Source organism: Homo sapiens, chromosome 2 (assembly GCF_000001405.40).
Source record: "Homo sapiens chromosome 2, GRCh38.p14 Primary Assembly".
Taxonomy (NCBI): domain Eukaryota; kingdom Metazoa; phylum Chordata; class Mammalia; order Primates; family Hominidae; genus Homo; species Homo sapiens.
This window is the reverse complement of record NC_000002.12, coordinates 203,356,409-203,369,247: the sequence shown is the minus strand read 5'-3', so window position 1 is coordinate 203,369,247 and position 12,839 is coordinate 203,356,409. Positions and strand designations below refer to the sequence as shown.

At 39.1% G+C, this 12,839-nt stretch overlaps 1 protein-coding gene and 1 pseudogene across 123 annotated transcripts in view, besides 2 other annotated features; one reads left to right on the top strand and one right to left on the bottom strand.

Moving 5' to 3' along the window:
• Window positions 1-12,839, bottom strand: part of ABI2 (abl interactor 2) — a 103,776-nt gene that overhangs the window by 62,922 nt on the left and 28,015 nt on the right. For 92 of the 123 annotated variants that reach the window (NR_164707.1, NR_164712.1, NR_164711.1 and 89 more), the window contains one exon: window positions 2,204-2,371. The exons of 11 other annotated variants lie outside the window; for them this stretch is intronic. Coding sequence is in view for 97 of the 112 variants with exons in the window: in NM_001375719.1 (NP_001362648.1) it covers window positions 2,204-2,371 (168 nt within the window). In the remaining 15 variants the exon portion in view is untranslated. Of the gene's footprint in view, window positions 1-2,117; window positions 2,372-12,839 lie in introns of those variants that run through there. 20 more of the 123 variants (NR_164717.1, NM_001282932.2, NM_001375754.1 and 17 more) reach the window with 3 other exon arrangements.
• Window positions 4,685-4,885: a silencer, noted in NCBI's record as "peak4020 fragment used in MPRA reporter construct". NCBI's record gives its function as "represses an SCP1 promoter by STARR-seq MPRAs in K562 erythroleukemia cells {active_cell/tissue: K562}" and the evidence as "EXISTENCE:reporter gene assay evidence [ECO:0000049][PMID:32103011]".
• Window positions 4,770-4,840, top strand: TRE-TTC9-1 (tRNA-Glu (anticodon TTC) 9-1; annotated as a pseudogene).
• Window positions 7,989-8,078: an enhancer, noted in NCBI's record as "active region_17011". NCBI's record gives its function as "activates an Ori minimal core promoter by ATAC-STARR-seq in GM12878 lymphoblastoid cells {active_cell/tissue: GM12878}" and the evidence as "EXISTENCE:reporter gene assay evidence [ECO:0000049][PMID:35858748]".

Genomic DNA, 12,839 nt, shown 5'->3' with positions numbered 1-12,839 from the left:
TTGCTAATGCTTCAAACATGGAAAAATTTTAGGATTCTCAAGAATAGATCTTGAAATTCTATATCACATTAGCAATTTGTCAACCTCCCTCCTTCTACAGAAAACCAAGTTCAGGCCAGGAGTACTGGCTCACACCTGTAATCCCAACACCTTGGGAGACTAAGGTGGGAGACTGCTTGAGCCCAGGATTTCAGGACCAGCCCCAGCATGATGGCAAGACACTGTCTCTACAAAAAAAAAAAAAAAAAAAAAAAAAAAAAAAATCAGCCAAGCATGGCACGTGCCTGTAGTCCCAGCCAGCTACTTGAGAGGCTGAGGCAGGAGGATCCCTTGAGCCCAGGAGTTCGAGGTTGCAGTGAGCCATGATTGTACAACTATACTCCAGCCTGGGAAACAGGGCAAGACTTTGTCTCTTAAAAAAAAAAAAAATTCATCTATTTCGTCATTTAAAATCCCATTGATTATTTCCTTCAGGAGGCCTTTCCCAACTGAAATTTACCTTACACTCATTAAAACGCACCAATTTTTTTTTAACTTAAGATACACAATATAACAAGCAATAAATGATATGTCTGCAGAAGTTTGTATAAAATGTGAAGAAACCCTTATAATGGCAAATTCAGATTTCAGATTAAGTAATATTAAATAAGAAATCTCTCTAAATTGGTCTGACAAATTTTCAAAAATACCATATCTGATTTTATTATCTGGACTATATTTGGTCTAGTTATACAAATTTGCTAAACTTTAGACTCTCAAAGATGGTTAGTTCATTTGAAAAGAGCCCTGAACTCTCAAGACATTAAAAATAATAATAATATGCACATTTAAAAATTATTTTCATTCCAAAATAGTTCTAATCATTTAGGTCTAAAAAGAGTGTTGAATAATAATCATTCAAATGACAAGAGTGCTAAAATAGAACATTTCAAAGATCTATTCAAAAAAAGGGAGGCAGACCAAAACCTTTATCATTTTTATATTTTTTAAATTGCATTTTACAACTTAATTGGTTTTTCACTGCAGTATTATTTTAAATGGCCCCAAAATATGGGAATGATTATGAAAGGTACAACATATACACGCAACATTATGCAGCCACTGAGAATGTTTATGAAGAACTTACAACATCAAGAGATTATGTTTGCCTTAACGCTAAGTTAAAAAAGCAGAACCCAAAATTTTATACCTATTCTATAACTGACTCTATTATAATCCTGGCTACTTTTTTTTATTTTTTTTTGGAGACAGGGTTTCACTCTGTCTCCCAGGCTGAAGGGCATGTCATAATCACAGCTCAATATAGTCTAGACCTCCGCATGCTCAGATGATCCTCCCACCTTAGCCTCCCAAGTAGCTGGGACAACAGGCGTGCACCACCAAACCTGGCTAATTTTTGTATTTTTGGTAGAGAACAGGGTTTTGCTATGCTGCCCAGGCTGGTCTGGAACTCCTGGGCTGAAGCGATCCTCCCACCTCAGCCTCCCAAAGTGCTGGGATTACAGATGTGTGCCCAGCCCACAGTTACATTTAAAAAAAACTACTTACAGGAAAAAGGATTACAAGGAGATATACCAAAATATTAACAGAGAAAAGCTTGGGAAGTGGTAAAATGGTTTATTTTTCTACTTTTTCTCTTCTTTTTCTGGGTTTTCATGAGTATGGCTTTTATAATGAAGACAGATTAACATTTTTTAAAAAACTTTTACAAGCCCATGAAGTAATACACTTTTTTTTAAATTATATATAATAAAAATAATTTCATAAGGTTTGCTAGTCTTTCCATTATTGCAGGTATGGTACCATCCCAGTAAACATAAATCCTACCAAAAGAAAAAAAAATTTTTGAACAAGCCACCAATCTATCAAGTTTATCTTTTTAAATTGATAAAGAAGTATGAAATTTGTTTTAAAAAAAAAAAAAGGCGGGGGAATGGATGAAGTTTCATTATAGGGCTGATTATGTTACCATGACAACTGAGTTTTAATAAAATTCATTACGATTTACTTTCCTATCAAAATCACAGAGAAGATAACCATCCCACAAAAAGACAGAATCTAAAAACAACCTAATATTAAGTTGCTATTTTCCAAATCGTACATGTGAGTTAACTTACATAATAAAAGCTGCCAGCATTACAGATAGCCTGTGTTTATTATTAAGGGTTCCTCATAGGCAAATAGGAAAATATTGTGGTCTCACTTGTGAAATATGATTGATTGAAGATTCCATCCTTCGTAGCTGGGATGCCTGGATATCCAGCATCTGCAGGACATTGTTGGCCAAGGTGTTTATCAGATAGGCAACACTTGCTAAGGATTGGGTGGTGTAGGCTTTGGTTTCTTCTAGGGCTCTCTGCTTATCTGCTGACTGGGAAAAAAAACAAACCAGTGATCATTAATTCAAAAATAACCCATTTCTAGCAAACTAACCTACCAAAAAACTCATCACAACGATTCTGCTGAGTCCACCAGAAAGTAAAAAAACTAATCCACCAGAATTGAAAACTACTGGTATCACATAAACCCCAAACCAAACTATTGACTGAACTCACTAATGTTTTCATGTTGAATAGACACATCTTTGCACAGATGCAAATAAAACCCTAAAGCCATTATCTAGAAAATGAGATCCAATGGACAATTTGAGCAGTGGCAGCAAAGTATATATTGCTTGGAAAGGTAGCACTGATTTGAACGTATAAATTTTGACTCACTTTCTTCTGCTTTTCTGAATTCCTCTTTTCCTTTCACTCTAATATGTGAAATGTGGCCATAACATAATGTCTGATTAAAGTGATAATAATGTTTAACCCTATAAGAGCATCCAGGAAAAAAAAATTTTAAGAAAAAAATTATAAATAATATGATAAATAAAATGGTAATAATAATCATGATAAACTAAAAGTAATAAAAGGATCCTTCCTTCCCAAACATTGTAAGTGTTATAACCCTAAAAGATGTAAATTGCCATGTTGCCCAAGCTGGTCTCGAACTCCTAGACTCAAGTGATTCATTGGCCTGCCTCAGCCTCCTGAAGTGCCGGGATTACAGGCATGAGCCACCAGGCCCAGCTAAACATTAAGTAATTTTTAAAATAAATTAAGTTGACACATGCAGTTAGACTCATTCTTCTTTTCCATTTTAAAATTAAGATTTCTATCCATTAATGATGTCTAAGAAATACTATGACAGTTTACATATGAACATGAAAAAACCAATATGGAAAAAAACACAAAAAGTAAAAAAATTTAAAAAACAAAAATAAACAAAGATAAAAATACAAATAAAGTCCTGTAAGCATTAAGATAACAGCCCCGGCCGGGCACGGTGGCTCACGCCTGTAATCCCAGCTCTTTGTGAGGCTGAGGCGGGCAGATCATGAGGTCAGGAGATTGAGACCATCCTGGCTAACACGGTGAAACCCCGTCTCTACTAAAAATACAAAAAATTAGCCAGGCATGGTGGCGGGCGCCTGTAGTCCCAGCTACTCAGGAGGCTGAGGTAGGAGAACAGTGTGAACCCGGGAGGCAGAGAAGGCAGTGAGCCAAGATCATGGCACTGTACTCTAGCCTGGGCAACAGAGTGAGACTCCGTCTCAAAAAAAAAAAAAAAAAAAAAAAAAGATAACAGCCCCAGAAAACACGTAGCCTGAGAGAGAGAAATATTTTTCCTAATCTTGATCCCAGAGTAACAAAAAATAAAATAAAAAAAATACCAACACCTCAAGGGCTTCAATATTTCACTCTGAAGTTTTACAAGTTCTGCTACATTTGTAGCTTTAAATTATACAATAATGAAATAAGAAAAAGGTACAGACAAGAATATTCATGTTCATGAACTCATTTAATGATGAAAGAGAAAAAGCATGAGGCTGACTAAACAATACATTCATATAGTACATTAATGCAGTAATTTAAAATGGTATTACTATGCATTACTGCTATGTAAAGATATCTACGATATAACTAAGTGAAAAAAAGCTGGTTACAAAGCATCTTGAACATAATCATCATAATTCTGTATGTGCCTGTGTGTAAATACAAGCACAAAAAAAAGTCCAAAAAGTAAGCTCCAAAATGATAACCTAAGTTTTCTCTGAATGTTGGAAATAAAGTTGATTTGTATTTTTAAAATGTTTTCAGTATGGCTTAATTTTTTTTTAACTTGGGCATGTATTACTTCCATTATCAAAAGGAGTAAAGCATAACGCTGGCCAGGCGTGGCAGTTCATGTCTGTAATTCCACAACGTTAGGAGGCTGAGGCGGGAGCATTGCTTAAAGACAGGAGTTCAAGACCAGCCTGGGCAACATTGTGAGACCTCAACTCCACAAAAGTTTAGAAAATCAGCCAGGCATGATGGTGGACCCCTGTAGTCCTATCTACTAGAGAGGTTGAGGTGGGAGGATGACTTGAGCCCAGAAGCCAAAGATGCAGTGAGCCATGATCATATCACTGCACTCTGGCCTGGGTAACAAAGCAAGACCCTGTCTCTTGAAAAAAAAAAAAAAATTAAAAAAATATGTATGTGCATTAATATAAAAGAATAGAAACTTTAAGTATTCTATCCTAGTCAACTATAAGGAATAATTATAAAGCATAAGAGGTCCAAAAGATTTTTAAACCTTTCTGAAGTGTATTTTACATTTGCATGCTCGTCAAAAAGTTATTTGGGGCTCAAGGGTCTTTTCTTGTTATTTCTAAGTTCAAGATGAAGTTTAAAGGACCAAGGTTGCTGTTCGTTTATCTGCTCTACGGATAAGTCAGCGCAATGGTGGTTCAGTGGTAGAATTCTCGCCTTTCACACAGGAGACCCGGGTTCAATTCCTGACCCATGTACAAGTATCTTTCCCTGCCAGCCACAGTGGCTCACGCCTGTAATCCCAACACTTTGGGAGGCTGAGGCGGGCAGATCATTTGAGGTCAGGAATTCAAGAGTAGCCTGACCAACATGGTGAAACCCCGTCTCTACTAAAAATACAAAAATTAGCTGGGTGTGGTGACAGATGCCTGTAATCCCAGCTACTCAGGAGCCTGAGGCAGGAGAATCACTTGAACCCAGGAGGCGGGGGTTGCAGTGAGCCAAGATCATGCCACTACACCCCAACCTGGACAAGAAACTCTGTCTCAAAATAAAACTTAAAAAAAAAAAAAAGATGAATGGACAAAGAAAATATGGTACAGGCCAGGTACCATGGCTCACGCCTATAATTCCAGCACTTTGGGAGGCCAAGGTGGGCAGATCACCTGAGGTCAGGCATTTGAGACCAGCCTGACCAACATGGTAAAACCCCGTCTCTACTAAAAATACAAAATTAGCCAGGCATGGTGGCACATGCCTGTAATCCCAGCTACTTGGGAGTCTGAGGCAGGAGAATTGCTTGAACCCAGGAGGCAGAGGTTGCAGTGAGCCGAGATCGCACCATTGCACTCCAGCCTGGGTAACAAAAGCAAAACTCTGTCTCAAAAAAAAAGAAAAGAAAAGAAAATATGGTACATATGCCCAATGGAGTACTATTCGGCCATAAAAAATAATGAGATTCAGTCATTTGCAACAACATAGATGGAACTGGAGGTCATTATATTAAGTGAAACAAGCCAGGCACAGAAAGATCGCATGTTCTCACTTATTTGTGGGAGTTAAAAATTAAAACAATTGAACTCACAGAAATAGAGAGTAGAAGGATGGTTACCAGAGGATGGGAAGGGTAGGGGGAAAGTGGGGAGGTAGGACAGGAGGAGGTAGAGGGAAAGATAGGGAGGTAGGGGAGTGGGGAGTAGGGGGAAAGTGAGAATGGTGGAGGTAGGGGTAAGTGAGAATGGTTAATGGATACGAAAAATAGAAAAGAATGAGTAAGACCTAGTATTTGCTAGCACAACAGGGTGATTTCATAAAAAATAATTTAATTGTACATTTTAAAATAACTGAGAGTATAGTTGGATTGTTTATAATACAAAGGGTAAATGTTTGAGGTGATGGACATCCCATTTACCCTAATGTGATTATTACACATTGTATGCCTGTATCAAAATATCTCAGGTAACCCATAAATATATACACCTACTCCTATATACTCACGAAAAATTTTTTTTTAATGTAAAAGTATTTAAAATACTGCCAGGTGCACTGGGCCACACCTGTAATCCCAAAAGTTTGCAAGGCCGAGGCAGGCGGATCACTTGAGGCCAGGAGTTCAAGACCAGCCTGGCCAATATGGTAAAACCCTGTCTCTACTAAAAATACGAAAAATAGCCGGGCGTGGTGGTGTATGCCTGTAGTCCCAGCTCCTCAGGAGGCTGAGGCAGGAGAATCACTTGAACTCAGGAGGTGAGGCTGCAGTGAGCTGAGATCAGGTCACTGCACTCCAGTCTGGGCAACAGAGTGAGACCATCTCAAAACAAAAAAGTATTTAAAATATAGGCTAGGTGTGGTGGCTCACACCTGTAATCCTAGCACTTTCGGAGGCCAAGCCAGGTGGATCACCTGAGGTCAGGAGTTCAAGACCGGCCTGCCCGACATGGAGAAACCCCATCTCTACTAAACATATAAAAATTAGCCAGGCACGGTGGCCCACACCTGTCATCCCAGCTACTTGGAAGGCTGAGGCAGGAGAATAGCTTGAACCCAGGAGACAGAGGTTGCAGTGAGCCAAGTGAAGCACCACTGCACTTCAGCCTGGGCAACAGAGTGAGACTCAGTCTCAAAATAAATAAATAAAATAAAATAAATAAAATACCAGTAGAAAAAACAAAATAAAATATAGTAAAACTCAATATTTAAAATGTAGTGGGACCCAAAGGTAATACACTCCCAATTACATGAATGTGAATATAAAGCAACTACCCCCAGAACGTCCAAACAACATGACCTTATACTGCTATATTAGAAGTTATTAAAAGAAAATAAATATTCACAGTGAAAGTACAGGTTATTTTATCTAACATTATATATTCCTCTTATAATTAAAAACAATTTTTCAATATCATTATTTCATGCTTAGATGAAAAACAGACCACAATAGCACATTCTGGATGTCACATTATCTGTACTTCACTTGTTTCAGTACAAAAGTTTTTGCCACAACTGTGGATATGAACTAGCTGAGCTACTGCCAGAATAACTGAGATCACAGGAACTATGTCATCCAGGGTCCAGCATACAAATAAACTAGAAATATATTACTATGCTGATCAACTGCAGAGCTCTTTTCTTTCCAAACTGATCTGTCAACAGCAGAACTCATTAGAAATGTTTCCTCTAACAAAAAATTATTTTTAGCTAAATCTCCTAAGGATTCATGAAGGATCACAAGGGAAGTAATTATTTTTCACTAGCCTTCCTCACTAATATAGTACAATCACTCAAAATTTCGATTCCTGCAAACTTAGCACAGACACAGCTTTGAGAAAGGGTACCTCGCTCAATAAATGACACTATAAGACACAGGACATCATTCAATCTAGGCAAAAGGATGGAGAATGTCTATGTTAATGGCCCTTTTAAATTTTCCTGTATTTGCATAGAACAGTCATGTTTTAAGTAGAAATAAGGAACTGTCTGGTTGAAAACAGGTCATTCTTCATCTGGTTTTATTGCCATGCAACACAACAGGCTCTGCCTTTCTCCTTTTTTTTAGTTTTCATTCTGTTTTCCTTAGCATTCTGTCAACTTCTATACTGTCTCCTACAAAAAGAGAAAATTCAGTGCAGCAAACTGTCCCCTGCCAAGAAAAAATTCAGTGCAGCAAACCACCATTATAGAGAACTTTTTTCTTTTCTGAGACAGGGTCTTACTACGTTGCCCAGGTTAGACTCCAACTCCTGGGCTCAAGTGATCCTCCTGCCTCTGCCTCCCAAGCAGCTGGGACTAGAGGCACACACTACCACACCAAGCCAAACATTTTCTTGTTCAGCATCCATTACTGTTCTCTAGTAACAGAATTTCACTTTCATATGGTGATTTAAGCCCGAGAATTGACTCCCATCCCCTCAGGAAGGGACACATGACCCAAGCCTGCCAAAAGCACACCAACCTGTTGGCCACTGACAGGCTAAGGCACTGACTCAAGACAGGCCAACAGGAGACTTCTCTGGGACTTTTCTAACAGTAATGGAAAATTTTATTTCAAGCAAGGATTGCTGTGGCAGCCAGACACATATATTCAGATCTCCTTTCAAGAGAACATGCTTTACAAAGCACTGACAGCCATCAGCCACACCTGTGGAGCTAGTGCTCATGCTGAGGCCACGCTTCTCCTCAGTAATGTATTACTCTTGAATAAACAGAGCATACGTCATCCTTGAAAGGGTAACAATTAGTTGTTACCCTAATTTTGGTCCTTGCTGATTTCATAAATGATATTAGCAACAGCATAAGAGTCAAAGGAGACTAAACAAGAGTCCCATTTAACCTTGTGTTGAGTCAATGTTCTAAACTCAGAAGTTTCCTGATCTTGGAAAGCCATGTCCCTAAATATTGGTAGAATCTCTGGTTTGCCAAGCAAACTTCTTTTCTGCATGCTGGGCTTCTCACTCATCATCTGTTGTTTCACAGCTAGGCCATATCTTGAGCCCCAGTTAGACTGATCTCTAGGCAAACGTCACTTACTAGCCTGAATCAGGTCATTCCTGGTATCTAAATTCTCCATTTTGCTAAACTGCTTCTTTAGCCTGTTCATCTCTCTCTATTCTTACCATCTCTGTCCTCCACTACTTACACTGCTTTAATTCTTCTTACCTCATGTTTACAGTGCCTCAACTGTTCTATCCCAAACCACCAAATTTGTTTCCCTTCATCATATCCCATTTCTCCTTTCCAGCTTCTCAAAAATCTAAGCCAAATAATCTGCTCCACCCAACACTTCGCCTTTTGTTTAAAGCATTCCTCATCCTCTTACCAATAAGAACCTTTATCATTGATAACCGACCTCACATGACAACACAAATTGTTTTTAAATTATTTTAAAGTGTTTTTTTAAATCCTAAAATAAAATAGACCACATTAACTAACTTAAAAGGCCTTTAGGGTACAACTGCTTCTTTTTTTTTTTTTTTTTTTTTTTGAGATGGAGTCTCGTTCTGTCACCCAGACTAGAGTGCAGTGGTGCAATCTTAGCTCCCTGCAACCTCCACCTCCCAGGTTCAGGCGATTCTCCTGCCTCAGCCTCCTGAGTAGCTGGGACTACAGGCATGCACCACCACGCCCAGCTAATTTCTGTACTTTTAGCAGGCACGGGGTTTTACCATGTTGGCCAGGATGGTCTCAATCTCTTGACCTCATGATCCACCCGCCTCAGCCTCCCAAACTGCTGGGATTACAGGCATGAACCACCATACCTGGCCAAAACTGCTTAATTTCTAAATATTCATTGCTATAGTCTGAATTTTTGTGTCCCCCCCCCAAAAATGTACATGTTGGAACCTAACACTGATGTTGATGGTATTAAGAGGTGGAGCCTTTAGGAGGTGATTAGGCAGAGCCTTCATGAATGGGATTAGTGCCCTTATAAAAGAGGTCCAAGGGAGCTTGTTTGTCCCTTCTGCCAAATGAGGACACACAGAAGGCACCATTTATGAGGAACAGGTCATCAACAGACACCAAATCTGCTGACGTCTTGATCTTGGACTTCCCAGCCTCTAGAACTGCAAGCAATAAATCTCTGCTAAGTTACCCCAGCCTAAGATATTTTGTTTTAGAAGGACCAATGAACTAAGACACATACATTTATATACTTGCACATATTTGAATATAACCTGTATATTGTCTAACTACAACAGATTTTAAAAATATTGATTTTTTCACATTAAGCAAAGTACAGATTTGGGATCTTTGTACATTCTACAAATGAGAGAAACTACAGGCTGAATACTCTAAATTAAGACATCACTCATAAGAACTCAAGTGAAAATGTAATCAGTGAAAATTCTATCAACTTGGGAATTAGAAGTCTTCAGTTCATATGAAAATGAAGGAAAATATAAAGGCATATATAAAAAGACTGGTTATGTTATTTAAAAAAACCTTAATCTGTCATAGCAGATCACATTTGTCTCAGAAGCATCTTGATTAAAAAGGAAAACAAAATGCCTTCTCTCCATCCCACACCCCACAGTCTGACCTACACTAAGGAAATTCCAATACATTTGCCCATTTTAGGCCCACAGTGATTTTGTTCAAGCAACAGGACCATGACATAGATCCCTCCATGGATTTTTCTTTTGTTTTTTGTTTTTTTGAGACAGAGTCTCACTCTGTCACCCAGGCTGAAGTGCAGTGGCACGATATTGGCTCACTGCAACCTCTGCCTCCCAGGCTCAAGCAGTTCTTGTGCCTCAGTCTCCGGAGCAGCTAAGATTACAGACGTGCATCATTACACCCAGCTAATTTGTGGTTTGTTTTAGTAGAGATTGGGTTTCGCCATGTTAGTCAGGCTGGTCTCAAACTCATGGATTTAAGTGATCTGCCCACCTCAGCCTCCCAAAGTGCTGGAATTACAGGTGTGAATCACCATGCCTGGCTGGATTTTTCAAACTGATTCTAAAAGAGAGAATGCTTTTGTCTTCTGATGTCAGAACTATTAATATACAAGGCCTAAAACACATGAAAGGATATCTCACAGAAAATGGAGTATGCCCATCTGAAAGGATGAAGCCAACATGCATAAAGAAGCAGAAACGAGACACAGAATTCTAAAAGTGTTTGAGTTCCTGATTCCAGTGATTCCTGTTCCTTCACATGGTTTAATTAATAACTAATAAATTTACGTTTTGTTGTTTAAGTTTGTTCAAACTACATTTCTGGCTGGCTGTGGTGGCTCACACCTGTAATCCTGGCACTTTGGGAAGACAAGGCAGAAGAATCACTTGAGGCCAGGAGTTCAAGATCAGCCTGGGCAACAGAGAAAGACCTTGTCTCTACAAAAAATAAAAAATAAAAATAAAATTTAAAAACTTGCCAGGCATGGTGGCATACACCTGTAGTCCCAGCTACTTGGGAGGCAGAGAAGGGAGGATCACTTGAGCCCAGGAGTTCAAAGCTGCAGTGAAGATATAGCGAGCTATGACTAACTACCACTGCGCTCCAGCCTGGTCAACAGAGCAAGGCCCTGTCTCAAAAACAAACAAACAAACAAACACACACACACACACACACACACACACACACACACACACACAAACAGGCCAGGCACAGTGGCTCATGGCTGTAATCCCAGCACTTCAGGAGGCTGAGGCGGATGGATCACAGGAGGTCAGGAGTTCGAGACAGCCTGGTCAATATGGTGAAACCTCATCTCTACTAAAAATACAAAAATTAGCCAGGTGTGGTGGTCCACACCTGTAGTCCCAGCTACTTGGGAGGCTGAGGCAGGAGAATCGTTTGAAGCCAGGAGGCGGAGGCTGCAGTGAGCCAAGACTGCGCCACTGCACTCCAGCCTGGGTAACAGAGTGAGACTCTGTCTCAAACAAACAAACAAACAAACAAACAAAAAACCCCAAAAACCAAATTCAGTTTCTGTCACTTGAGACCAAAGAATCCTAAAATTCTTTAAATTGTTCCTTTTAATCATTTAACATATACTGGCTTCAGTTCTCAATAACATGACACTTTTAAAATATGTTATATCATCTGCCTAGACAACATATGTATAGACAAACTGGAAATAACTGAGGCAGGTTAACTTGATATTCACCTACACACCAAAGTGTCAGAGGAGCACTTTAGAAAAAGGAGGTTATTTAGAAATAAAACAAATGATCAGAGGTTAATCTTCGTGAGATTCAGAACATAAAGTCACCTAGGTATTTGCTACATTTGTGGTTGACTATTTTGAGTAAAACCTATCACATTAATGCCTTAAGTGAGGTTTCTAGAAATGCTGTGGATATTAGAATGGATAAGGGCATCTGAGTTATTGTTCTAGCTCTGCTACTATCTTACTTGCTCTTAAATAATTAATTTATACTCCCAAGGAGTCAGTTACCATATGTTATATTAAAAGGACTGGATTTTTAGGTCCTTTTCAGCTATAAAATGTCATGATTCTTTTCTGGAACACATTTGGAAGTTGGTCATTTTAGACTGGACTATATATGCTTACATAAAAAGTAACAAATCACAAATTTTATATCTATTTTATATTAGGAAAAAATTGAGTGTGGTAAGAAATCTAACATGAAACTTGCTTTTTAAAAACAGACAAAAATTTTAAAAACGCTTTCCTCATTATTTGAAGAAGTAATCGTTTTTTAGTTTTCTTTTTACTCATTTGCCTTTAACATTCCCAATGCTTTCGGTCATTCCCTCCCCCACAAAAAAGACAGGAACAATGTGAAGTATACTCTGTACCATACGTAAGCATAATCCTTACAATACATCTTATTACCTAAAAAAAAAAAAATTGTGTAAAACCAAAAACTTTCAGAAATAACTGCATTTTAAAATATGCTGCCGAGTGTGGTAGTTCATGCCTATAATCCCAACACTCTGGGAGGTCGAGGCAGGAAGATTGCTTGAGCCCAGGAGTTCGAGACTGGGCAACATGGTGAGACATCATCTCCACAAAAAATTTAAAAATTTGGACTGGAATGGTGGCTAACGCCTGCAATCATAGCACTTTCGGAGGCCAAGGTGGGTGGATCGCCTGAGCTCAGGAGTTCGAGACCAGCCTGGGTAACATGGTGAGATTCCCGTCTCTACTAAAATACAAAAAATTAGCCGGGCGTGGCAGCACGCGCCTGTAGTCCCAGCTACTCGGGAGGCTGAGGCAGGAGAATTGCTCAAACCTGAGAGGAAGAGGTTGCAGTGAGCCAAGATCACGCCAATGCACTCCAGCCTGGG